A 27,409-nucleotide genomic window follows, 5' to 3' on the forward strand; every position below is an offset into this window, starting at 1 on the left:
ACCTTGAGTGCTAACCTGATTATTTGGTTTTTTGGCTGGTTGGTGTTTTTTAGAGACAGTCTCATTGCTCTGTTGCTCAGCCTGGAATACAGTGGCAAAGTCGTACTTCACTGCAGCCTCAACCTCCTGGGCTCAAGGGATCCTCCTGCCTCACCCTCCCCAGTTGCTAGGACTATAGGTGTGTGCCACCAAACCCAGGTGTGCGCCAGCAACCCCAGCTAATTTAAAACATTTTTTTTGTACAGACAGCCTTGCTATGTTTTCCAGGCTGGTCCAGAGCTCCCGGGCTCAAGTGATCCTTCTGCCTTGGTCTCCCAATGTGGTGTGATTATGGATGGCCTAAGGTGATTATTTGAATATTAATCAGGGATACAGAGGACAAGGGTAAGGTATTGAGGTTTTTGTTTGTTTGTTTGTTTTGACGGAGTTTTGCTCTGTTGCCCAGGCTGGAGTGCAATGGTGCGATCTTGGCTCACCGCAACATATGCCTCCCGGGTTCAAATGATTCTCCTGCTTCAGCCTCCCGAGTAGTTGGGGTTACAGGCATGCGCCACCACTTTCAGCTAATTTTGTATTTTCAGTAGAGACGGGGTTTCTCCATGTTGGTGAGACTGGTCTCGAACTCCTGACCTCAGGTGATCCACCCGCCTCAGACTCCCAAAGTGCTAGGATTACAGGCATGAGCCACCGTTCCTGGCGGCATTGAGGGTTTTAAGATGAGGTAGGGCTGGATGTAAACAGTGTAAAATAGATTGGAATTGGTGGACACCATAAGAGAAATATAATCAAAATCTGATTTTGGTGGTGGGCCTAGGAATGAATAGGCCAAGAAGCTCTTTTTGAGGCAGGGTGATGTAGGGAACTTGGGAATAATTGTACTGTAAGTCACTAAAATAAGTTTGTGGCTATGAGCATTTCACTTAAGCTAGGTCTTTTCCTTTGTCTAAAAAATGGAAGAAAATAATACCTCATGGTATTGATGTGAGGATTAATAAGAGATAGAAAATGCCTACTGGGCCGGCTGGGCGCGGTGGCTCACGCTTGTAATCCCAGCACTTTGGGAGGCCGAGGCGGGCGGATCACGAGGTCAGGAAATCGAGACCATCCTGGCTAACACGGTGAAACCCTGTCTCTACTAAAAATACAAAAAATTAGCTGGGCGTGTTGGCAGGCGCCTGTAGTCACAGCTACTTGGGAGGCTGAGGCAGGAGAATGGCATGAACCCGGGAGGCGGAGCGTGCAGTGAGCCGAGATCACGCCACTGCACTCCAGCCTGGGCGACAGAGTGAGACTCTGTCTCCAAAAAAAAAAAAAGAAAATGCCTAGCTTGGTTCTGGTAATAGTAGGTGCTCAATAAATAGGTTCTCCTTACCCCTTTTCTGAAGTGTGGAATTTAAAGGGTAAGATGGGAGTGGGGTACACCCCCTTCAGAAGGGAGGGTAGGAAAAAACCTGAAATTAAAACCTGGTGATAAAATAATCAGAAAAGGGAAAGTTCTGAGTAAGGTGAACAGATACAAGAGAACCTTTTTAACAAAGTGTTGTGCTTATTGTAGGTCTTTAATAAATGCTGGATGCTTATTTTTGCATACTTCTGTTACACTTAACATTGTTCTGCAATTATATAAATTTATCTGTAATTGATTGTTTAATCTGTCAGTGAGCTTCATAAGAAAAGGAGCAATTATTTTACTTACCTTGCACAATTGTGGAGCACCTACCATCTGCCAGAATGTTATTTGCTGGATGAATATGGCTTGAGCAGATTTGGTAATATATAACACTTGCCACTAGGTGGCTCTTGGTCTTGATAAAGCTGACATTCAGCATAGATAGGTTTTTCTACCTAGAAACCCACGTAGAAACTGACCCCCGGATTATATTCACTTTTTTGCCTTTTCTGTACCTATATTTTTTGAAGTGGAATATGAAACACATATCATATAGAAAACTCATTTAGACTGTTGAAAATTAGAAAAGTGTAATGCCTTTAGAATATGTCCTGTAGAAAGAAGCAGAATGGAAGCTCAATGAAATTCACAAGTGAACAAAGCACATTTCCCCATCTCTCAATGTGCTTAAAGTGAGGCATGATGGTTTGATTTTAGGCATTGTTTTTTGTTGTTATGACTGCGTAAATTGCTTTAAAGGAAGATATTGTGAGGATTTGTTTCTCAGAGGATTTGATGAACGATGATGAAGCGTGGTGTGTACTGATGCTAGGCTATGATTCTGTGTGCTCTTATTTGTATTGTACTCTTCCTATTGAGAAGTAACATACCATCTAATGGTAACTTACATAACATAGAAAGGTAACTACATCCTGTGTGACACGTGTGATATATATTATTAAATCCATTAGATTCAGGAAATTTTAGAGCCAGAGAAGACCTTACTAATCATATATTCTAAAAGTACCCATTCATTTACACAGACAGGTTAGATAATGGCTGAGACACATTCAGTGACTGAGCTAGTTCCTGGTTTGTTTTAGGGGGAGGGGAAGGCCTGTGTTAGTCTTTTGTTTTTGAAACAGGGTTTGCTGTCACGTAGGCTAGAATGCAGTGGTGCTGTCATGGCTCACTGCAGCCTCAATCTCCCGAGCTCGTAATCATCCCACTTGAGCTTCCTGAGTAGTTGGGACTAGGTGCACGCCACCATGCCTAGCTGGGTTTTGTAGAGACGGAGTTTTCCATGTTGCCCAGGCTGATCTTAAACTTCTGGGCTTAAGGGATCTGCCGGCCTCAGCCTTCCAAAGTGCTGGGATTACAAGTGTGAACCCCTGTACCCAACGTTATGTTTTTTTTTTTCCCATACCTTTCTATTTATCTCACTCAGCTGCCTTTTAATGTTACATGCATTTTTAAAAAATAGCCCTTTTTCTCATATGTGCAGACTTAGAGCAAGACTGTAAATCCCTCAGCACCCAAGCCTTGATGGGTAGAGTGCGGCGGCCAGTGTTGCTTCATTAAATGGTCAGCTCGGAGCCTGCCTGCTCTTTCCTCGTTTGCTGTGTTCCTGTTTTTGGTGCTGCTTATGATCTTTGTCTTGTATTTCTAACTGACCAGGTGGCCTCTTCAGGAACATAGTTGTCCTCCTCACTGCACACCTCCTTATCCACTCTGCTTCAGTTGCTCCTACTCGAGAACTGGCTGGACGCAGTTACCTCTGGCTTACTCCAGTCTCTGCCTCTTTTCTCTCTAGCTTCTTGGTTATGCCACCTGCAATAAATTGCAGCTGGCTGTTTCCACAGCCTCTGGAAGGGAAGATGGAAGGACAGAGGAGAGTGAAAAGAAAGAAGGCTGTCATACAGAGAAGAGAGGCTACAACTTGAAATTTTATACTGAAAGATGATCTGGTTTATGAACATGATGATGATGTGTGTAGTGAATTTTTTCTAGTGTATATGCCAAGGCAATATTATTCTCTTGACTATGGGATTCATTAAGTCTGTTGTATCTGTCATCCATGCTTATCCACATGTCAAGGAAGTGAATTAATTTCAGCATTCCCAAGATAGAAGTGATAGTATATGGTAATTTACTTACAGCTTATAATAATGAGTGTCATTATTTGATTAAATGGATATTACTAATTAATGGGAGTTGCCATGTCACTATTGTAATGTTAAAAAAAAAAAGACCTTTCAGAGGTTATTTCATAATTATTGGTAAGTAAGCCATTCTTTGTCCTGGCCTTCCTCCCATGTATTCAATGTGATATGTACACTTTGCACACAGGATTTACTGACATGTCATTTACTTAAACAGCAGTTTCTTAGGTACCCTAAGTCCTGGAAATTGTCAGTTGCTTAAATAATTAAATACAAATAAATCAGCTGTCCACCTAAGCTACCATATACATTTTTGTTTAAATTCTAATGTAATTTAAAAGGCATTTATTTAATTTTTAGCTTGTTTTCATAGTTATTTCAGGGAAATGACCATCTTGATATGGAAATTTTTCTTAGAAATTAATTGATTTCACATCTGTATAAAATAATCATCTTGATTATTTTTCTTGTTGGAAAAGTAATGTTTGTTATAAGAAATTCAGAAGTTATTTATTTACTTCTTGAGACAGGGTCTCGCTTTGCTACCCAGACTGGAGTGCAGTGGTGCCATCATATCCCACTGAAGCCTGAAACTCCTGGACTCAATCCTTCCATGTCAGCCTCCCAGGTAGCTAGGGCTACAGACACTCGCCACCAGTCTTGGCTAATTTTTGTATTTTTTGTAGAGACGGAGTCTCTCACTGTGATGCCCAGGCTGGTTTCAAACTGCTGGTCTCTGGTGATCCTCCCACTTTGGCCTCCCAAAGCACTGGGATTACCAGCATGAGCCACCATGCCTGGCCTCAAAAGTTACTTAAGTATATTGTGTAAAGTGAGCCACTATAGTCTTATACCAGGAAATAATCACTGTTAACAATTGGGAGTACCTTTGACCCTTGAACAACACAGATTTGAACTGAGTGGGTCCACTTATATGTGGATTTTTTTCCTCCAAACTTGGATGGAAAATACAGTATTCATGGGATGCAAGAATAGTGTATATGGAGAGCTGACTGCCGGTCTTGAGTATGTGTGGATTTTGATGTATGGGAGGATCCTGCAAGCAATCCCCTGCGGATACCAAGGAACAACGATATATTTCTTAATTTAAAGAAATGGAAACGCTGACATTCGATTCTATTTTAAAAATTTCAGTAGTTTTGCAAACATAATATTAAAGGTGCCAGGGAGCTAACACTTTGTTGAATATCTACTCAGTCCTCAACTACAATGTGAGGGAAGTGGTATCTCTATCTATTAGATTACTTTAAATGAATTTCCAGGAAATAAACTTATTTTTAAAGTTACACTTGATTAGACTAGTCTTTGGGCTCAAAGTTTCTCTGAAGTAGCGTAATGTATCTTTAGGTAAAAATTTTGTATTTCATTTTTAAAAAGTTTTTTAAATTAAAAAAAATTTTTTTTTTGAGATGGACGTCTCACTCTGTTACCCAGGCAGACTTGGAAATTTTGGGCTCAAGCATTCTTCCTGCCTCATCCTCCTGAGTACCTGAGATTACAGGCATGCATCATTGTGCCTGGCTTAATTTTATTTATTTCTTGGGATAGGATCTTACTGTGTCACCCAGGCTGGAATACAGTGGCAAAATCACAGCTCACTGTAGCCTCGACCTCCCAGGCTCAAGTGATCCTCCTGCCTCAGCCTGCCAAGTAGCTGGGACTACAGGCTTGCACTACCATGCCTGCCTAATTTTTATTTTTATTGTAGAGACAGGGTCTCCAACACCTGGGCTCAAGCGATCCTTCTGCCTTGGCCTCCCAAAGTGCTGGAATTATAGTTGTGAGCCACTGTACATGGCTCGGACATAATTTTTAAAATAATTTTGTCAGGGCATCCCTGGGATGTTGTTCTATCAGTTAATCCAACTTTTCTGCCTTTTCTTTTTTTTTTTTTGATGGAGTCTCGCTCCGTCGCCCAGGCTGGAGCGCAGTGATGCTATCCTGGCTCACTGCAACCTCTGCCTCCCAGGTTCAAGCAGTTCTTCTGCCTCAGCCTCCCGAGTAGCTGGGATTATAGGCGCCCACCACAATGCCCAGCTAATTTTTGTATTTTTAGTAGAGGTGGAGTTTCACCACGTTGGCCAGGTTGGTTTCGAACTCCTGACCTCAAGTTGATCTGCCTGCCTTGGCCTTCCAAGGTGCTGGGATTACAGGAATGAGTCACCATGCCTGGCCCAACTTTTCTGCTTTGTATTTTCTTTTTTTTTTTCTAATATTCCTTTTTTGCCTACAGACCAATTTTTAGGTTTTTAAATTCTGTATACATCCTGTGTGGCCTTGGGCAAGTTACTTAATTGCATTGCAACTTAAGTTTTCCCTTTTGTACAAAGGAGAGCATACATGAGAATTCTTCTGAGGATCAAACGTGTGTATGCAAAGGGGCTGCAAGACTAGGCCTGGTCTATAAGGATTGCTTAACGTCCGTTTCCTTTCTTAACTCAAGCTACTGCCATGCCTTTTATTCATCTCTTGACTTGGTCTTGTTTTTATTTTCCCTTATGCTTACATATTAAAACCTGATTTTCACCCCAGGCCATCAGTAAATAACCTCCTTTTACCAGACCCCCAAACCTCATTTCAGTCATCAGCCTATTTCATTTTTCTGCATCTTGTGTTTTGTTTTGTTATGTTATGTCTTTATTCTTGACTAACAAGCTACTATCTCCACTTCTTGATTATTCCATCTTCTCTTTGCTACTTCTCTTCCAATCTTAAGTATTGTGATTTGCAGTTTTTGTCTTCCTCTTGCTGTATTCTTTGACTTTATGTCTGTGTCATTAGTGTGGATGTTTAGATTCGCATTTTAAAAATTCCTACTGGTTGTTCTGCAGGCTCATTAAACTTGCCTTTTCCAAAACAACTTGTTCTTTTTACCACCTGTATCTGTGATACCATCCTATAAAATAGACTTGATATCTGTTATAGTGCTGTTGTCCATCTGGCTGCCACAGGTAAACGTTAACTTCAGTAACTTCCTTATTTCCTCCCACTATCAGTTTTTCTTATTTTCTTATTATTATTATTATTGTTTTCGAGATGAAGTTTTGCTCTGTCACCCAGGCTGGAGTGCAGTGGCGTGATCTCGGCTCACTGGAACCTCCGCCTCCTGGGTTCAAGTGATTCTCCTGCCTCAGCCTCCTGAGTAGCTGGGACTACAGGCGTGTACCACCACGCCCGGCTGATTTTTTGTATTTTAGTAGAGACAGGGTTTCACCATGTTGGCCAGGATGGTCTCGATCTCCTGACCTCGTGATCCACCCGCCTTGGCCTCCCAAAGTGCTGGGATTACAGGCATGAGCCACCGTGCCCGGCCTGCATCCATTATTTCTTATCAGATATTCTGCGTTCTCTTCTTTTTGCTCGCTGCCATTGCCTTACTCTCCAGGCTGCTTCATCTCATAGACTATTGTCACAGCCATGTCAACTTCCCCAGCCCACATATGCTTACTTCTTTTTTTTTTTTTTTTTTTTGAGCCGGAGTCTGGCTCTGTCTCCCATGCTGGAGTGCAGTGCTACGATCTCGGCTCACTGCAGCCTCCACCTCCTGGGTTTTACGCCATTCTCCTGCCTCAGCCTCCTGAGTAGCTGGGACTACAGGCATGCACCACCTACGCCCGGCTAATTTTTTTTGTATTTTCAGTAGAGATGGGGTTTCACTGTGTTAGCCAGGATGGTCTCGAACTTCTGACCTTGTGATCCACCCGCCTCGGCCTCCCAAAGTGCTGGGATTACAGGCATGAGCCACCACGCCCGGCAATGCTTACTTCTTTAGTCTGTAGTTTTGGTGTTTGTTCTGCATGTGAGTATTTGGGGGTTTGTAGGGGGATCTGGTCACCTAATTTTGTTGTAAATGGTGCCCACAGATTTTGATTTTGCTATCTTAGTTATGGCTCTTTTATGTGGGAAGAGATTGGAAAGCTATGCTGCTGCCAGTGTTACCCTAAAATCCTGTCTAAATATCATCAGACAAATACATATTAATTGTAGGCTAAATCGATGCAAAGTGAGTAAGACAGTTCGCTAGATCCCAGCTCCCAGAGATATGCATGCATGTTTACAATGGGGTAAATTTCCTTCCAAACTCTAGTTCTTTTCTTGACATGCTCATGTCTGTTTCTTGCATTGAGAAAGGAAGAGTTATGGTTACTATTTCTATGAAAGATTATTTAGAGATCTAGGTACTGTGGCTTGTAATCCCAGCCATCCCAGAGGCTGAGGTGGAAGGATTGCTGGATGGCAGATTTGGAGGCTGAGGAAGGATAGCTGGAGATTAAGAGTTGGAGACCAGTCTGGGCAACATAGGAAGACCCCATCTCTTAAAACAAAACAAAACAAAACAAAACAAGTGTTGCGTGTGTCTGTAGTCCTACCTACTTGGGAGGCTGAGGCTGGAGGATCACTTAAGCCCAGGAGTTTGAGATTGCAGTGAGCTGTGATTAAACCACTGCACTCTAGCATGGGTGGTAGAGCAAGACCTTGTTTCTTTACCAAAAAAAAAAAAAAAATTTCTTTAGAAATTTAAGTAAGCTTTTGATGTTTTCACATACATTAAAGGATATGGGTAGGTTTTTCTCTTTAAAACACTGTATATGTAGTTTTTTTCTCCTGATAACAAAAATAACAAAATATAAAAAGGAAAAAACGTAATTCTACCAAAACACATTAACATTTTAAGGTATATTTATCCTTTCAAAGTTAAAAATAACTTTTACCACCTCCCTAAATTATAAATATATTGTAAAAAAGCCTAAATGGTAGCGTAGTGCTTCCTTGCTTCTGCCCCTGATGGTCTTTGTTTAGCGTTTTTTGTTTGTTTGTTTGTTTTTTGAGACTGAGTGTCGCTCTGTCGCCCATGGGCGATCTCTGCTCACTGCATCCTCCGTCTCCCGGGTTCAAGCGATTCTCCCGCCTCAGCCTCCTGGGTAGCTGGGATTACAGGCGACAGCCACCATGCCCAGCTAATTTTTTTTTTTTTTTTTTTTTAAATAAAGACAGGGTTTCACCCTGTTGGCCAGGATGGTCTTGAACTCCTGACTTCAGGTCGTCCTCCTGCCTTGGCCTCCCAAAGTGCTGGGATTACAGACGTGAGCCACCGCACCCAGCCTGTTTAGTGTTTGATGCATAGTATTTTTTAGATGGCTATTGAATGCATGTAAATGCGTACATAATCTTTTTTAATCTTGTTCTTCCATCTGTCCTTCTGTTGGTCCTCCTTTCCTCTACATAAATTGAATTATACCAATTCAGCAGCATATTGTTCTTCTTGTTGCTTGGGTGGTTAAACAGTATCTCTTCTGTAGCTCTGGCTATCCACAGGTGTGGCTCCCCATGCTTACTGGCTGCTTTGAGGTTGTTTCCAACTTTTTTTTTTTTTTATACTGCTGCCACAAACATATCTGTGCATGTGTGAAGGTAACCAATATCTTGATACCTTTAAGTGGAATCACTGTTTTTTCCATGAGGTTATTGGCCATTTGTATTTTCCTTGTGAAATATATACTTATAATTCTTTATCCTTTTTTTTTTTTTTTTTTTTGAAGGACAGGGTCTCACTCTGTCACCCAGGCTGGAGTGCAGTGCTACAGTCATAGCTCACTGCAGCCTCAACTTCATCGGCTCAGGCAATCCTCCTCCCTCACCCTCCCCAGTAGCTGAGACCACAAGCATGTGCCACCAGGCTTGGCTAATTTTTAAGTTTTTGATAGAGAGAGCAACTCACCACGTTGCCCAGGCTGTCTATTCATTTATGTCTTTTCTCATTTTGTATATAAGCACTTTTATTTTCCACATATTACTTTTGTCAATTCTATGGTTTTTTCCCTAGTTTTTCATTTGTCATTCATTTTTATTTATTTTTTGTCATACAGGAGTTAAAATTTTTAGGTAGGCAGGTTTGTAGTTTTTCTTTTGGCTTTGTGTTTTTTTGTTGTTTTTTTTTCATCTTCCTCACCCTAACATTATGGAAACATTCTTATGTGTATTTTTCTTTCTTTTTTTTTTTTTTTTTTGAGATGGAGTGTTGCTCTATTGGTAGGCTGGAGTGCAGTGGCGCAATCTCGGCTCACTGCAACCTCTGCCTCCCGGATTCAAGCAATTCTCCTGCCTCAGCCTCCCGAGTAGCTGGGACTACAGGTGTGCGCCACCATGCCCAGCTAATTTTTGTATTTTTAGTAGAGACAGGGCTTCACCATGTTGGCCAGGATGGTCTCAATCTCTTGACCTCGTGATCTGTCCACCATGGCCTCCCAAAGTGCTGGGATTACGGGTGTGAGCCACTGCGCCCGGCCTCTTACATGTATTTTTCTTCCATGTGCTCTTTTATAGTTTAAAAATCGGTGTATCTCTTTAACCCTTCTGGAAGTTTGGCTTTTTTGTTTGTTTTGGTGTGTGTTACATAATGTAGGCTCTAACTTTTTTTTTTTTTTTTGAGATAGAGTCTCACTCTGCCTCCCAAGCTGGAGTGCAGTGGCACGATCTTGGCTCCCTGAAACCTCTGCCTCCCAGGTTTAAACAGTTCTCTGCCTCAGCCTCTTGAGTAGCTGGGATTACAGGTGCCTGCCACCCTGCCCGGCTAATTTTTGTATTTTTAGTAGAGATGGGGTTTCACCATCTTTCCCAGGCTGGTCTTGAACTCCTGACCTCGTGATCCACCTGCCTCGGCCTCCCAAAGTGCTGGGATTACAGGTGTGAGGCCTGGCAAAGTTGGGTGTGTGTGTGTGTGTTTGGAGACAGAATCTCACTCTGTCTCGATCTCAGCTCACTGCAGTCTCAACCTCCTGAGTAGTTGGAACTACAGCTGTGCGCCACCATGCCTGGCTAATTTTTTGTATTTTTTTTAGAGACGGGGTTTTGCCATGTTGCCCAGGCTGGTCTGGACCTCCTGGTCTCAAGCCGTCTGCCCACCTTGGCCTCCCAAAATGCTGGGATTACAGGTGTGAGCCACTGTGCCAGCCTTATATTTTTATATTGTGTGTTTCAAATATAATTATATTGTGTGTTTCAAATATAATCTGTTACTTGAACGTGGTGTTTAGTACCCAGGAGGTCTCTAGTTGCGTTCAGACCTTGCCATAGTTTGGTGAGGGAGGTAGTATTACCTTGTTTTACAGAAACTTAACCAAGTTTACCTGCGAGTTGGTAGGAGAATTGGAATTCAAACCCGTATCTCCAGATTTCAATTTCGTTGTTAACAGTCCGGGGTTCATGCCTGTAATCCCAGCACTTTGGGAGGCCAAGGCGAGCTGATCACTTGCGGTCAGGAGTTCGAGACTAGCCTGGCCGACATGGTGAAACCCCATCTCTACTAAAAATACAAAAATTAGCTGGGTGTGGTGGTGGCCGCCTGTAATCCCAGTTACTCGGGATGCTGAGGCAGGAGAATCACTTGAATCTGGGAGGCGGAGTTTGCAGTGAGCTGAGATCGTGCCACTGCCCTCCAGCCTGGGTGACAAAGTTAGACTCTGTTTCAAAAAACAAACGAACAAAAAAAACCTCTGTAACATACAGTGTGTAAAAGTAACACTCCAAATCAGTGAGAAAAAGAGCATTCAAAAAGTTACATTAGAACACTTCTGGTCAGGCAGTGGCTCATGCCTGTAATCCCAGTACTTTGGGAGACCAAGGTGGGCGGATCACCTGAGGTCAGGAGTTTAAGACCAGCCTGGCCAACATGGTGAAACCCTGTGTCTACAAAAATACAAAAATTAGCCGGGCATGATGGCGGTTGCCTGTAATACCAGCTACTTGGGAGGCTCAGGCAGGAGAATTGCTTGAACCCGGGATGCGGAGGTTGCAGTGAGGTGAGACCACGCCATTGCGCTCCAGCCTGGGTGACAGAGCAAGACTCCATCTAAAAAAAAAAAAGAACATTTCATTCATTCATTCAGCAAATACCTATTGAGTACATACTACTTACCAGTACTATATGCTAGTAGTAAAGACAAAATTTTAAAAGTAATTAACATTATGTTAGAAGGTGATGCATGCAACTGAGAAAAATAAAACAGGGAAAGGGTATAAAAGGTGGAATAAAAAGCAGGCAAGATGGTCAAGGAAGGCCTCACAGAGGTGATATCTGAGAAAGACGTGGAGGGAGGAAGAGATTCCTGTGGGTATGTGGGAGAACAGCATTCCACACAAAAGGAATAACACCTGCCAGGTTGGAGCAGAGTAGTAAGAGGAAGAACAGTAAGAGCTGAAGTCAAGGATAAAACGGTGGTCCAAAATGTGCAAGGTTTTAGACAAAGAGGAACTTAGTTTTTATTTTGAGATGAGTAGCTACTGCACGATCTTGAGAAGGATCTCTCAAGCAACTTTACTAAGAACAAGAGCAGAGCTAAAGAAAAGTTAAGAGGATTCTGCAACAATTCAAGGTAGAGATGATGCTGATAGTAAGAAATGCAGCATATTGGGGCCGGGCGGGGTAGCTCATGCCTGTAATCCCAGCACTTTGGGAGGCCGAGGTGGGTGGATAATGAGGTCAGAGGACTGAGACCATCTTGGCCAACATGGTGAAACCCCGTCTCTACTAAAAATATAATAAATTAGCTGGGCGTGGTGGCGGGCACCTGTAATCCCAGCTGCTTGGGAGGCTGAGGCAGGAGAATCGCTTGAACCCGGGAGGCGGAGGTTGCAGTGAGCTGAGATCACGCCACTGCACTCCAGCCTGGCAACAGAGTGAGACTCCGTCTCAAAAAAAAACAAAAGAAAAAAAAAAAAGAAAGAAAGGTAGCATGTGAAAGCCTTGAAATAAGTGTCATAAAGGAAAAAAATCATTTTAGATGTGCTAGTTTGAAATGCTTTTTAGACGCCCAAGAGGAAATGTCTTTTGAGACAGCTGGATATAAAGTTTGGAGTTTAGAAAAGAGGTCAAGGCTGGGAATAAAAATTTGGGAGTCATCAACATATTAATAGTAGTTAAAGCCATAATCATCAAGATCTGTGTTGGTGGCAACGTAATGCTAAAACCCAGGGGCTACATTCTGGACACTCCAAAGTTTAAATGTGGTGAAATGAGAAAACACTACAAAGGAGACTGAGAAAGAGGTGCCAGTGGGGTAGGAAGGAAAACAGGAGTGTAGTATCCTAGAAGTCAAATAAAGAAGATGGCTCAACAAGAAGGGAGTGATCCAGTCAGATAACATGTGGTAAAAGACAGCTGACCACTGGCTGGCTGCGGTGGCTCATGCCTGTACTCCCAGCACTTTGGGAGGCTGAGGCAGGCAGATCACTTGAGGTCAGGAGTTCGAGACCAGCCTGTCAACATAGTGAAACCCTGTCTCTACTAAAAATACAAAAATTAGCTGGGCATGGTGCTATGCTCCTGTAATCTGAGCTACACGAGAGGCTGAGACAGAAGAATCACTTGTTACCTGGAGGTGGAGGTTGCAGTGAGCCGAGATTGCACCACTGCACTCCACCCTGGGTGACAGAGTGAGACTCCATCTCAAAACAAAACAAAACAAAACAAAAAAAAACCAAACGAAAACAAAACCAAACAAAACTGACCACTACATTTAGCTGCGTGGAGGGAACTGTTAAGTTTTGTTGAAGTGACGGAGACAAAAACCTAAATGGAGTGGGAGAGAAATTGGAGACAGAAAGAACCCTTCAGAGGTCTGTTGTAAAAGGATGCAAAGAAACAGGGAACTAGAAGGGATTGTGGGGTCCAAAGGAGAAATACCAGCACGTTTGTATGTTGTCAATAATGTTTCAGTAGAAAGGTAAAAATTGAGACAAGAGAGAAGAAAGTGTAGCTGGCTAGTCCAACATCCTAGAATAGCCAAGAAGGGATGGGACATAGTGCAAAACTAGGCTGCCCAAAGCAGAGTTCTCACAGTGGCTTGCAAAATTCAGCAGGCATCAGAGTCACCTGGAGGGCTTGCTGAAGCACAGATGGTTGGACCCCATCTCCAGAGTTTCTGACACAAAAGGTCTGCAGTGGAACTCCAAGAATTTGCGTTTCTAGCAAGTTCCCGGATGATTCTATTGCTGCTGGTCCAGAAACCTCATTTTGAGAACCACTGCTCTGTATCAAAAGGAGGGAAGACAGAAAAGATGAGTATATACATTAGTACAAATGCTGAACACCTGGGTTATCAAAAAAAAAAAAAAAAAAGGGAATGTGGTGTTTAGTAGCCAGGAGGTCTCTAGTTGCATTAGACCTTGCCATCGTTTGGTGAGGGAGGTAGTATTATCTTGTTTTACAGAAACTTAACCAAGTTTACCTGCTAGTTGGTGGGAGAAATGGAATTCAAACCTGTATCTCCAGATTTCAGTTCCATTGCTGCTTTGTAGTATGAACATCTGCTAGCGATAGTGTAATTTAGTATGTGGTGATCCTACTAGCATTTCCCCTCCTCATTCCTTTCTCCCATGCGTGGTTAACTTAGTCATCTGACAACACATGATTGAGTGTGCTCACTAACCAGACAAGCCTCTCAGTCCAGGCAGATTATAGATCTGAGGCAGGAGAGTAAAGTTGAACAGGGAATAGGTTTATGTGGAATTTTTTTTGTCTCCCTGTTTCACTATACAATTTTGGAAGAAGGGTTTGTGCAAAAAACACAGGTTGCTAGTCATGAAACACATTCTGTTCACCACTAATTAATTTGGGTAGTATCTCTGCTTCACTTTTCTTCAGTGTAATGGTATCTCTGACATGCTAGGGAGCTTAGGAAAATGGTTCTAGCATTATATAAATGACAGGTATTGCTATTAGCAATGACTCAAGATTCTCATGTTTTTTGGTATTCTACATGTCATCCATTCTTTCTATTATACTGGAGTACTTTTGTTTTATGTAAAACTGTTGTATAAATGTCATTTTAAAGTCTCTGCTGTCAAATTTTGTTGTTATTCTAAGACAGCAGCTGTGGATGTGGCTTAAAAACTGATGAGTTTCTACAATGATGAGCCTTTATGGAGCAATGAAAGGCTGCTTGTAAATTGTAGCCACACTTGCAATGAATTCTGTGTTTGTTATTGTGAATCCCTAAGGGTGACTGTTTTTTCAGCAGGGCGAGTTAGGACGGCACAAACTGAGAGTTTCTGTTCTGGTAATCTTTACTTCTTATGACTTTAAGGAATTTGGAATATTTTTGCTTGACTGTTGTAATGAATCTCTAAACATATTATTTGGATATGTGGGCAGATAAATTGTAAGATATGTTATAGACGTGGTTTCTGTCATCAAATATTTTTGCTCACAGTAGCTACTGTGTGTAATAGCATTTATAGATGATGCTTTACCTCTAGTTACTGCCTAAAGATATAAATATTGGGTTATTTGAAGCTACATATTTCCAGCTTATACATATGAATAGTTTAAGGCATAGTGTATGTACCCACTTTTATTTCAGAAAAATACAGGTTGTTTGTTTGTTTATTGTTTTTTTTTTGAGATAGAATCTCGCGCTGTTGCCTAGGCTGGAGTGCAGTGGTGTGATCTCAGCTCACTGCAACTGCCACCTCCTGGGTTCAAACGATTCTTGTGCCTCAGCCTCCTGAGTACCTGGGATTACAGGTGTGTGTCACCATGCCTGGCTAATTTTTTTGTACTTCTTTCTTTCTTCTTTTTTTTTTTTTTTTTTTTTTTTTTTTGTGACGGAGGTTTGCTCTTCTTGCCCAGACTGGAGTGCAATAGTGTGGTCTCGGCTCACTGCAACCTCCACCTCCTGGGCTCAAGTGATTCTGCTGCCTCAGCCTCCCAGCTAGGTGGGATTACAGGCGCCCGCCACCACACTCGGCTAATTTTTGTATTTTTAGTAGGGAGAGGGTTTCACCATGTTGGCCAGGCTGGTCTTGAATTCCTGGCCTCAAGTGATCCACCTGCCTTGGCCTCCCAAAGTGCTGGGATTACAGGCCTGAGCCACTGCCCCCAGCCTGTACTTCTTTTTAGTAGAGATGGCATTTTGCCATGTTGGCCAGGCTGATCTTGAACTCCTGGCATCAAGTGATCCGCCAACCTCAGCTCCCAAAGTGCTGGGATTACAGGTGTGAACCACCACACCTAGCTAGGAATATGGTTTTAATATGTTATTGAGACATATAGCTAACTATAATTATTTTTTATTTTTTATTTTTTTGAGACAGAGTCTGGCTCTGTCACCCAGGCTGGAGTGCAGTGGCGTGATTTCGGCTCACTGCAAGCTCTGCCTCCCGGGTTCACGCCATTCTCCTGCGTCAGCCTCCGGAGTAGCTGGGACTACAGGCGCCTGCCATCACGCCCGGCTAATTTTTTTGTATTTTTAGTAGAGACGGGGTTTCACCATGTTGGCCAGGATGGTCTGGATCTCCTGACCTCGTGATCCCCCCGCCTCAGCCTCCCAAAGTGCTGGGATTACAGGCGTGAGCCACCGCGCCCGGCTGCTAACTATAATTATTAAAAGTAGTTTTACTCAGAAAGACATCACCTGGAGCTGACCTACAAATAATAAGGGAGATGTGGTAATTTTTTAATCAAAATATACCTAGAAGATAAATTTCTCAAAATAATCCTAGAAATGACTTTTAAAGCAGAAGAGAAAAAAGGAAGGGTGGAATAGCAACAATGGAAACAAATGAGGAATCCTGCTCCCCACCCCACCTCAAAGCCCACTGTATATGTGGGGTTATGGTCAGTATTTCTGGTGTTAGAGTGTATATTTGCAAATCTCTGAACTGTTTATATGTATGAATCTCATCATAATAGATTCACATTCTTCTTAAAGGCAATGCTTAACATGTTTCCTGATCATAAGATGTTCATATTGAAGATTTTAAAAAAATACAGGTTGAATGTGCTGCTTAAAATGAGCTGCTGCTTTATTTTTAAACATTTAAAAAATTTTGTTAAATTTAGTCTCGTTCTTCCTACAAAAGAGCTTAAACTTTGACAGTAACAGCTGTTCTTTTGTGTGGGACATGTTTTCATGAGGATTTTTGTGCACATTAAAAATAACCATTTTTGTGAATCGTAGTTATTATTCATAGTCACTTTATAAGAGATATAAAGGTTTTCCAGTGAGTTACTTCTGATTCATAACCAAATTATAGCAGAGCAGATGTAGACTACCAGTGGAATAATTAGCCAAAAAATATTAGGGGGCTAGAGATCTCTTTGTGTAACATTTAACTTTAATTTCTTGGACAGCTTATATGAATAATTAAAGTGTTGAGGCAGTTAAAATTTATTTTCCTCTCTTGGGATTTCCCAGTTGTCATAGATAGCTGTAGTCACTAGGGAAGTAGAAATATTATTTCCAGCAAACAGATGGCTTTCCTCGTATTGGTCCCCAAAAGCGCCTACTGAGGTTTGTGTTTCTGTTGGATGATTTCCTAATCACACCAACTCAGTATACTTTTGAAAGATCACACCTGGTAACAGAATATGATGTAAATATTAATATGACTTAGTGAACTTGAGAGCATCCAAAATTGTAAGTTTATATAGTTCCTACATCCCTGGGGAGAGTAGTCTGTCCAATGAGAGGAATCGCCTGGTAGCTAGTACTTTACTTTTCTTATCACAAGTCCCCTTTCTGCCTCAGTTGTACTCTCAGGGATTCCCAAGCTGCTACTTCTGCTTTTTAACTCTCATTAACTCTGTCATCTACGTGCTATTTTCATTTCTGCTTAGTCAGATGACTACCCCATCCCGTACTTTGAGGCATTGGTAGGTTTTTGTTAGAATTAAGGATAGGATTCTATTATGTATGGGGAAGATTTTCAGAGAATACAGTGATGCTGGGGCTTAAAATGACAAAATCACATCTTTTCTAAGCTCTATAATGAAGCTTTTTTGGAGATTTCACTTGTTACTAATCTTTCTCTTTTTAAAATGTCTGTTTTTCTTCTCCCATTGGAAATTAAAACACACACACACACACAAACACAAATTGGGAATCTACATGTATATTTATGCTAGTGAAATTTCAAAAATAGTCAAGTATTAGTGAAGTGGCCACATTGTTGGAGTAAATACTTGGGGGTTCATCATCTCACTCCCAAAAAATTTAGGACATGGACATGCACGAGGAGTTCAGGAGTGGAGGTTTAATAGGCAAAAGAAAGAGAAAGAGAAAGGAAAACAGCTTTCTCTCTAGTGAGAGAGAGGGGACTTCCAGAGAGGAAAAGACTGGCGACTGCGGATGTACTGGATTTTATAGTCAGATTGGAGGAGGGGATATCTGATTTACATAGGGCTCACAGATTGGTTGGGTCAGGTATGACGTTTACAGCGGGGAAGGCTGGCTGCCTAATCTTATTATGCAAGTAAACTTTCCCCTTGGCAGGTGCCATCTTATCTACTCCTTACTGTACACATGGCTGACAAAGAGAAGGGAAGATGGAGCCGCTATCTTGAACATGATTGGCACAACTGCTGACATCTATGTCTGTAGCTCGATTTTACAGTCTGCTCTTTGTGAGAAAGGAAAATGATTTGGGGCTGCTTTTCATTAAAAGGAAAACCTTACTGAGGACTTCCATACCCTCACTATCTGCCTAAGTAATATCTTCTTAACTCCTTTATCATTAGGATTCTAAAAACAGGCTGTATTGGCCGGGCGCTGCGGCTCAGGACTCCTGTAATCCCAGCACTTTGGAAGGCCGAGGCGGGTGGATCACCTGAGGTCAGGAGTTTGAGACCAGCCTGGCCAATGTGGTGAAACCCTGTCTCTACTAAAAATACAAAAATTAGCTGGGCATGGTGGCATGCATCTGTAGTCCCAGCTACTTGGGAGGCTGAAGCAGGAGAATCACTTGAACCCGGGAGGCGGAGGTTGCAGTGAGCCGAGATTGCGCCACTGCACTCCAGTCTGGGTGACAGAGCGAGACTCCATCTCAAAAAAAAAATAAAAAATAAAAATAAAAATTTGTCAAGAAGGAAAAAAATTCTGATGCTTTACACGTGTTGCCAGGGGAACAGTGGCACCATTTGTTGAAATGAGATGGCCTTGAGGTAAAAGGCACAGTAGAAGAGTTGAGTTAGTTTGGGGAGAAGATTTCGCTTCTGAACATGTCGACTTTGAGGTTCTTGTGAGAAAGCTAGATGAAGATATCCAGTGGCCAGTTATACGTGGCGATCCTGGAGCTCAAGAGAGAGAGGTCAGGGTCGGAAATGTGTACTTGAAGACTGGTAGATGCTAATTAGAACCTTGGGAGTGGGCAATATCTCTTGGATAGAGTTAGGCAGAGACAGACTTGGCAAGCACCAAAATTTAAGGAATGGGTAGAGGTATAGAAGCAATTAGAAGAAAACTGTTAGCAAACAAGGTAGAATAAAAGCCTCAATAGTAGAGCATTACAACAATGAAGACAGAGTTCTAGAAGGAGGTACACTGGTCAGTGGTGTCAAATGCTGCAGTGAGGGTGAGGTAAGTTTAAATGTTCATTGGATTTAGGATTTCAGAGACCCTGGCAAGAACTGGTGAGATCTTACTGTGGTTCAGGAGTTGAAGGTGAGGGAGTATGCAACTCTTTTAAGAGCAGTTCTTTTAAGAACATGGAGAGTGGGAGTGGAGCCATAGGTGTTAAGGTAGAGCTTTGAAGATGGAATAGGCTCGATAGGTTTAGATGCTTATTGGAAGGAACACACGAAGAGGGAAGAGATGAAACTTTTATTGTTAACTCCTGTTGCTGCCTTTTCTGTAACCTTGTGCTGCTTCTCATGTGTTAATGAAAAGCCTGAATTAAAAGGGGGTAACTGAAAGTGGCACACATTCAGTAATTCTGTGACCAAGAGGACATTTACCAATTTGATTCTCTTTTAGAGTCTTTCTACATCTGCTGTTTCCTTTTTTTTTTTCTTTTTCTTTTTCTTTTTTTTTTTTAAGATGGAGTTTGGCTCTTGTTGCCCAGGCTGGAGTACAATGGCACCATCTCAGCTCACTGCAACCCCTGCCTCCCAGGTTCAAGTGATTCTCCTGCCTCAGCCTCCTGAGTAGCTGGGATTACAGGCACACGCTACCACGCCTGGCTAATTTTGTATTTTTAGTAGAGATGGGGTTTCACCACGGTGGCCAGGCTGGTCTCGAACTCCTGACCTCAGATGATTGACCTGCCTCAGTCTCCCAAAGTGTTGGGATTACAGGCCTGAGCCATCATCGTGCCCGGCCTGCTGTTTCATTTTAATCAGAAAAAATATTCTGTGTTTGTCTCCTGGAGGGGTGACGTTTGTGTTTTGATTGTTTCATGTTTTTGCTCAGTCCTTCTAATACTAAATGAGGTGATGGACTTGGTTTATTACTGTGAAGCCAAAGATATTACTTGTCTTTGGGATCTTTATCCATATACTGTAAGAGCTATGTGGCACATACATCAATTTCTTTTTCTTTTCTTTTAACTGATTGCCTCTAGACTTTTGATTGCTTGCTCTTATCAGTAAGTAGAAAGTTAGCATGTACCCCAATATATGTGATTATCATATTGTACTGTACCAATATACTGAAATATGTACATAAATTTGAAATGTTAAAAAGTATTTTGATAAAGTTGAGGTAAGCAAAGCTTTTCACCTCAACAACAAAAAGTTTGGTTGTTTTTTGATTTTTGTTTTTTGTTTTTTTTTGTTTTTGAGACAAGGTCTCACTTTATCACTCAGAGTGGAGCGCAGTGGCGTGATCATAGCTCACTGCAGCCTTGAACTCCTGAGTTCAAGCCATCCTTCTGCCCTAGTCTCCCAAGTAGATAGGAGTTACAGGCATGTGACATCATGGCCCACGAATTTTTAAAATTTTTTGTAGACACAAGAGTCTCACTATGTTGCTCAGGCTGGTCTTAAACTCCTGGCTTCTAGTTATCCTCCTACCTAGGCCTCCCAAAGTGTTGAGGTTACAGGCGTGAGCTACCATGCCTGGTCTGTAAACAAAGTTTTAAAGATGTTTTTAAAAGTTAATGGCAGGAACTCATTTTATCATCACAAGTTTGTGTGTGTGTGTGTGCGCGCGCGCACGCACTTGCCAGGCTCTAGAGTGCAGTGGCGTTCTCACAGCTCACTGCAGCCTTGACCCCGGGGGCTCAAGCCATCCTCCCACCTCACCCTCCTGAGTAGCTGGCACTACAGGTATGAGCCACCATGCCTGGATAATGTTTTTAAAATTTTTTTGTAGAGATGGTGTCTCGCTATGTTGCCCAGGCTGGCCTCAAACTTCTGGACGCAAGTGATCCTCCCACCTCAGCGTCCCAAAGTGCTGGGATTACAAGCATGAGCCACAGTGCCTGGCCAATCTTCACATGTAGCTTTTAGTGAGAACAATGTGTTTAAATATCACTTCTTTTTATCTTTTTTATTTGAATATCACTTCTTTAATACTTTGCGATAGAGTCATTCAAAGGACTGGGTCCAAGTTCGTTTTATTTTGATATAAGTAAGTGATTTTCTTAGCTGAAAAGCTATTGTTTAAATGCCATGCTTAAGTGTTTTGATTTACAGACATGTCTACTAGGTAGCATACTACAGGCAGCTATTTGTCTTCACAGGAAAAGTAATTGATTTGGGGACCTTTTTGCATAGAGAAAATGAGTAACTCATCAAGTTTCACAACACTTTTACTTCTAAGTGCTTTACCAGGAGATAAACAGCAGACCTCCATGTGGTATAAGAGATTTTCATGGTTACTCTCTGTCTCATGATGATGTATTGTTTTATAAAAGTAACTGTCTATTACATCGGCAGTACTTTGTGCCATTCTGCCTTTAATTTCTTCTGTTGCTAATGTAAGATGGAATGAATGAATGTCTTGTGTGATGGAATTTCAGTACACTTTCTACAGAAATTTGTTTTATTTCGGTTAAAGCAGCTACTTGCATAGCAGATAATGCTCTCACTGTTATTTCATAAAATGCTTTTATTAAAGAAGTCAAGAAGCTCCCTCCATGAAGACAGAGACCTTGTCTTTTTGTTCAGTGCTCTAGCTCTGAACCTACAAGAGTGCCTGTCGTGTAAGACATAATAAATTTTAACTGTGAAATGAATTTGTAGTTGAGAATGTTTTCCTGTAGATACTTTCTTACAAATTTTCATATTTCATTAAGAAGCCAGCAAAGACTATAAGCTAAGGTATATTAGAAAAATGGTTTGTACTACCAACTTTATGGCAAATTTCTCACACTAGATAATTTTTCTAATACTAGTTTCCCCACTCTGCCCTATGATCCTCAACAGCTTTTTGTGTGCTTATTTATACAGTAATTTGCACACAGAAAAATACATTTTGGTTTATGTCCATATGATTCCCCAAGTCATATTTCAGTCTTTCTGCCATGACAGGAAGGACAAGTCTTTCCTCATGGTATTTGGCTACTTATCTTACACTATTATATAAAATAAACCTTAAAAGAGACATCTGAACATACGTAGTTAAATTTAGTGAAGTTTTCCAAAGTACTGAATTGAAAATTATGACTTTAAACCTTGCTCGGGACAAAAAACCTACAACCTATAGACATATGATAGGTGAACAGTTCATTAAAGGACATTAAGAGGTGAGGATGGAGGGCATATAAGGGAGATAACATTCTAGCAAGAAGAAACAGCAAATGTAAAGACCTGTAGGCAGAGTATGCCTGGATTAGATGTGGCATGTGAAGTAAATACAGAATTCAAAGATGATTCCCTGGTTTTTGGCCTGAGCAATGGTAATTACAGGGTTGCCATCATTTAATATGGGAAACAAGTTTTAGGTATGAGGTTGTGAGATGAGGCTACATATAAATGAATGATTTGCTTTTATGGCTTCTGGATTTTGCATGGTGACAGGTTAAAACAAATCTCAGGTTAGCCAATTCTTGGTAGGAAACATGATTTTAACCCATTTATGCCATAGGTTGCAAAATTTTTTTTGTGTGATAGCCTTGAGCAGTTGGATATAAATAACTCACAAGCTTAGCATTCCAATAATGGAACACTATATTATATACGTTATATATTATATATTATATACATTAAGTTTGGGTTACCTGAAAAAATTACTTGAGACTATTTTGCTCTACCTTAATATGCTTAATTACTATGCTAACTCCCAGGCCCATCCTGTGGATTTCAAAAGTATATGTGGAAACATTGTGTACATTAGTGCGTGATCTCTGACACTTGAGGAACATAGATACCTAGAATATTGAGATAGTAAAAGGGAATTAGGGAGTCCTGAAGGCAAATATTCATACTAACAGGAAGAAGACACAGAAGTTTTTGATCACATACTTAGGTCTCCAGGCATCACTTGAGAGAATTTTTCTGAGAATGCTTTGTTTATTTTTTGGTGGGGGGTGGGTGACTGGGTCTTGCCCTGTCGCCCAGGCTCAGCTCACGGCAACCTCTGCCTTGCAGGCTCAGGCAATCCTCCCACCTCAGCTTCCCAAGTAGATGGGACTACAGGTGTGTGCCACCACACCTGGCTAATTTTTGTATTTTTTGTAGAGAGAGGGTCTCACCATGTTGCCCAGGCTGGTCTTGAACTCAGGAACTCAAGTCTTCCGCCTGCCTTGGCCTCCCAGAGTGTTGGGATTACAGGCCTGAGCCACTGTCCCTGGCCTTGAGAATGGTTTTTATGTTATGAACAATACAGGACAATGGTATCTGTCAAAATAGCTGCTATATATTACTTGTTTTCTCTACAACTATGTATATCTTCCTGTATGAGCTTTCTGTTTTGATAGTACGTTTATGTACTTGGAAATATGTGCATGCCAAATAGGCCCCACTGCTAGTTTCATACAGGTTATGCAGTAGGGTCACTTTCCATGGCTATTAACTTCTAGATGTTCTATTAAGAAACAGTGTGTGCTAAGAGCTGCTTTGGGTCGGGGGGAGGTGTGTGGTTATGGTGGGGAGTTCCCTTTCATACCTACTTTGGGATCACAGTGAACTGACATTGATCTTTGTGTATTTAAATTGTTTTCAATTCAGAGTAGCATTAATGTATACTCCTGCAGCCTTGTCCTAATGGTAGCAGTTTTAGCATTATTTTCTCTATATAGTGGGAGTTTACCTTACTGTCTTTGTCTTTTTGGGCTACTGTAACAGAATACCGTAAACTAGGTAGCTTATGAACAATAGAATTTATTTCTCACAGTCCAAGACTAAGGTGCCAGAAGATTCAGTGTCTGGTGAAGGTCCCTGCTGTGGTTCATAGATGGTGTCTTCTAGCTGTATCTACACATGGTGGAATAGGGGGTGAAGGATCTCTCTCAAGCCTCTTTTATAAGGACACTAATCCCATTCATGAGAGCTGTGCCTTTATGACCTAATCACCTCCCAAAGGGCTTCCCTCCTGATATTGTGACGTTAGGGGTCAGGATTTCAATATATCTCTTGTAGGGGGACACAAACATTCAAACCATAGCACTCACATCATTAAAAATTCAATCAAGGCTGGGCGTGGTGGCTCACACCTGTACTCCCAGCACTTTGGGAGGCCGAGGTGGGTGCATCACCTGAGGTCAGGAGCTTGAGACCTAGGAAGGAGAATCACTTGAACCTGGGAGGCGGAGGTTGCAGTGAGCCCAGATCGCACCATTGCACTTCGGCCTGGGCCACAGAGTGAAACTCTGTCTCAAACAACAACAACAAAAACCTCAAACAAAATCAAACAAAATCTATCCGTGGCGTTCTGGTAGGACCATGGGTACTGAAGGTTCATAGGGCTTGTTTTGTCTAATGCCTGCAGAAGTCTCTTATACTGCCATGTAAGTTCTGGGAGGACATTGCTTCTTAGAGACCATTTTCATTAAAATTAAAATCTAATCCAGCATGTAGCCTTCATCATTAATCCATTGTTTTAGTAAGCTTTGTTTTTGTTTTCCAGCTTCTTATGTACCGGTAGCTTTGTTAAATAGTGGAAAGTGTAACAATTCCTAAAAAATCCAGTGGAAAGGAAAGTATAGCAAAACCCGGTGGAAAGTGTAGCAATTTCTGAAGCTACTACATCAGCTACTACTTGCAACAAAGAAAGGCACTTGTATATTTTCAGCCTTTTTTCTTAAAATATTCACCTGTTGCTAAGGTTTTTTTCTTTAATCATGAAAGGTTTATTTCCAGTTGCTTCAAAACATTAATATGCTAGGAAAAATTGTCTATGAAGTAACATGATTTTCATTTATGTCAACCTCATTCCCCTATGCTGCCTATGCAGCAGATCACAGCAAGGAAACATACATTGTATCAGAACAAACTTTTTGTTTTGATTTGATTTGTTAAATGCATGCAGAGGCAGGTATTTGTTTTTGGGATCAGAGAGACCAGGCTTTGAATTCTGGTTCTGCCACTTAAATGTCTCTTCCTGCAAGTTACTTCACAACTTTAACCTCAGTTTGTGTGTCTATAAAATGTAATTATTATGCCTATCTCATAGGTTTGGTAGTAAATAAGTGAGATAATACATTTAAAATATTAGACAACCTTTTTATACTTCAAATATACTAATAAATCTTATTTGCAATTGTTCTTATAATTCACAGTATTCTTTTTTTTTTTTTTTTTGACAGAGTCTTGCTCTGTCACACCCAAGCTGGTGTGTAGTGGTGCGATCTTGGCTCACTGCAACCTCTGCCTCCTGGGTTCAAGCAATTCTCCTGCCTCAGCCTCCCGAGTAGCTGGGATTACAGGCACCCACCACCACGCCTGGCTAATTTTTTTGTATTTTTAGTAGAGATGGGGTTTCACCATGTTGGTCAGGCTGGTCTTGAATTCCTGGACCTCAGGTGATCTGCCTGCCTTGGCCTCCCAAAGTGCTGGGATTACAGTTGTAAGCTACTGTGCCCTGCCACAGTATTCTTTTGTTTTTTTGTTTGTTTGTTTTTGGAGACAGAGTCTCGCTCTGTCCGCCCAGGCTGGAGTGCAGTGGCGTGATCTCGGCTCACTGCAAGCTCTGCCTCCCGGGTTCACGCCATTCTCCTGCCTCAGCCTCCCGAGTAGCTGGGACTACAGGCGCGTGCCACCATGCCCGGCTAATTTTTTGTATTTTTTAGTAGAGACGGGGTTTCACCATGTTAGCCAGGATGGTCTCGATCTCCTGACCTCGTGATCCACCCGCCTCGGCCTCCCAAAGTGCTGGGATTACAGGCCTGAGCCACCCCGCCCGGCCATATTCTTTAGATCATGAGATAATTTATACAGCCACCGGGGACTGTTTTCAGCAAGCTTAATGTTTTCATGTTACTTTTATATCCTGATTTTATTTAAATACAAAATATTTACTAGAAGGCAGGATTTTTGTTTCACCATCAAATATAGATCACAAGGAAAACATAAAAAATGTAGTAAATTAGCAATTTGTATTTTTATTTATTGGCAAAAAGATTTCTGTTTTTTTTTTTTTTTTTTTGATACGGAGTCTTGCTCTGTTACCCAGGCAGTGCAGTGGTATGATCTCAGCTTATTGCCACCTCCACTTCCTGGGTTCAACCGATTCTCCTGCTTCAGCCTCCCAGGTAGCTGGGACTACAGGCTGCTGCCACCACATCCAGCTAATTTTTGTATTTTTAGTAGAGACCGGGTTTCTCCGTGTTGGCCAGGCTGGTCATGAACTCCTGACCTCAAATGATCGGGTCGCCTTGGCCTCCCAAAGTGCTGCAGTTACAGGCATGAGCCACATGCCTGGCCGGCAAAGAGATTTTACGTGGGAAACTGATCAAATAATTACAATATACAGAAACTGTAATTGTATTTAGATTATTGTGATGTAAAGGGGATACAGGCTTTTTTCCTTTGGGTACAAATAGAGATGGACTGTTTTCTATTTAAATACCATTAAAAATTGTTATACTTTTCTACTTTGCCTGTGACATGTAGTGGTTTTTCAGGCTTATATTCTCTCTTCCAGCTCAAAGCTCTCATTTAATGAAATAATTTGAAATAAAACTTGATTTAAAACTTGTTTTTCTTATTTGATTTAATATTGTCTCCTGCCGTATTTTTTTGGTCTTGTTTTCTCTTGTATAGGGTAGAGGGCAGTGGTGAGATCATGGCTCACAGCAGCCTCAACCTCCTAGACTCAAGCAGTCTTCCTACCTAAGCCACTGCCCACCTCCCCCTAATCCCCCAGGAGCTGGGACTATAGGTGTGTACCATATGGCCCGACTATATATATATTTTATTTTTTGTTGCATAGGCTGTGTACTAACATTTTTATTCTGAAGTTAAATACATCCCATCTGTGAACTTGTCAAACATCATGCACTGAACTATTTTAAATTCTACTCAGGAGACATTTCTTAAAAACCTATTATAAGGCTAAGTGTGGTAGCTCACACCTGTAATCTCACAAGGCCAAGGTAGGATTGCATGTGTCCAGGAATTTGAGACCATCCTGGGCAACATAGCAAGACTTCATCTCTACCAAAAAAAAAAAAAAAAAAATGGGTGTGGGGGTGCATGTCTGTAGTCCCAGCCACACAGGAGGATCCCTTGAGCCCCAGGAGTTCAGGGCTGCAGTGGGCTATGATCTGTGCTACTGCACTCCAGCCTGGGCAACAGAGCAAGACCCCATCTCTTAAAACATCAAAACCCTAACCCCTCTCCTGCCAACAAAAAAGCCTCATTAACAGATAAGAACTTTGAACACCTTGAGTTATATAAAACGTAAGTGAAGACAGTCTGGCCCTTGATAGTTTGTGCCCCACTGGGGACTGCAGGTACACTCACACAAACTGTAAGGAAGAACACCATAGCTCATGTAACAGGCATTTCCCAAGGAGCATTGAGGTACACAAGAAGAGGGGATGGTTAATTCAGACTGGGGATTCCAGTGAAAGCTTCAGGAAGGGATTTCTTCTTCCACCTCTCAGTTTTAAACTTTTTAACTATGTTAGAGGAAGATGAATTCTGGAAATTTGGGGGCAAGAGATTTTGTTAAGG

At 41.6% G+C, this 27,409-nt stretch overlaps 1 protein-coding gene across 18 annotated transcripts in view, besides 3 other annotated features; it reads left to right on the forward strand.

Moving 5' to 3' along the window:
• The window catches only part of RBPJ (recombination signal binding protein for immunoglobulin kappa J region), a 329,683-nt gene that overhangs the window by 223,145 nt on the left and 79,129 nt on the right, over window positions 1–27,409 (forward strand). Inside the window, exon 1 of one of the 18 annotated variants that reach the window (NM_001374403.1) lies at window positions 14,547–14,630. The exons of the other annotated variants lie outside the window; for them this stretch is intronic. The gene's annotated coding sequence lies outside the window, so the exon portion shown is untranslated. Of the gene's footprint in view, window positions 1–14,546; window positions 14,631–27,409 lie in introns of those variants that run through there. 18 annotated transcript variants of the gene reach the window in all.
• Window positions 2,354–2,648: an enhancer, noted in NCBI's record as "tiled region #12863; HepG2 Activating non-DNase unmatched - State 14:Gen5', and K562 Activating DNase matched - State 8:EnhW". NCBI's record gives its function as "activates a minimal TATA promoter and a strong SV40 promoter by Sharpr-MPRA in HepG2 and K562 cells {active_cell/tissue: HepG2 | K562}" and the evidence as "EXISTENCE:reporter gene assay evidence [ECO:0000049][PMID:27701403]".
• Window positions 23,532–24,033: an enhancer, noted in NCBI's record as "H3K4me1 hESC enhancer chr4:26353747-26354248 (GRCh37/hg19 assembly coordinates)". NCBI's record gives its function as "activates a minimal SCP1, AML or CMV promoter by ChIP-STARR-seq in naive H9 embryonic stem cells {active_cell/tissue: H9 hESC(naive)}" and the evidence as "EXISTENCE:reporter gene assay evidence [ECO:0000049][PMID:30033119]".
• Window positions 24,034–24,533: an enhancer, noted in NCBI's record as "H3K4me1 hESC enhancer chr4:26354249-26354748 (GRCh37/hg19 assembly coordinates)". NCBI's record gives its function as "activates a minimal SCP1, AML or CMV promoter by ChIP-STARR-seq in naive H9 embryonic stem cells {active_cell/tissue: H9 hESC(naive)}" and the evidence as "EXISTENCE:reporter gene assay evidence [ECO:0000049][PMID:30033119]".

This window comes from Homo sapiens, chromosome 4 (assembly GCF_000001405.40).
Source record: "Homo sapiens chromosome 4, GRCh38.p14 Primary Assembly".
NCBI lineage: Eukaryota > Metazoa > Chordata > Mammalia > Primates > Hominidae > Homo > Homo sapiens.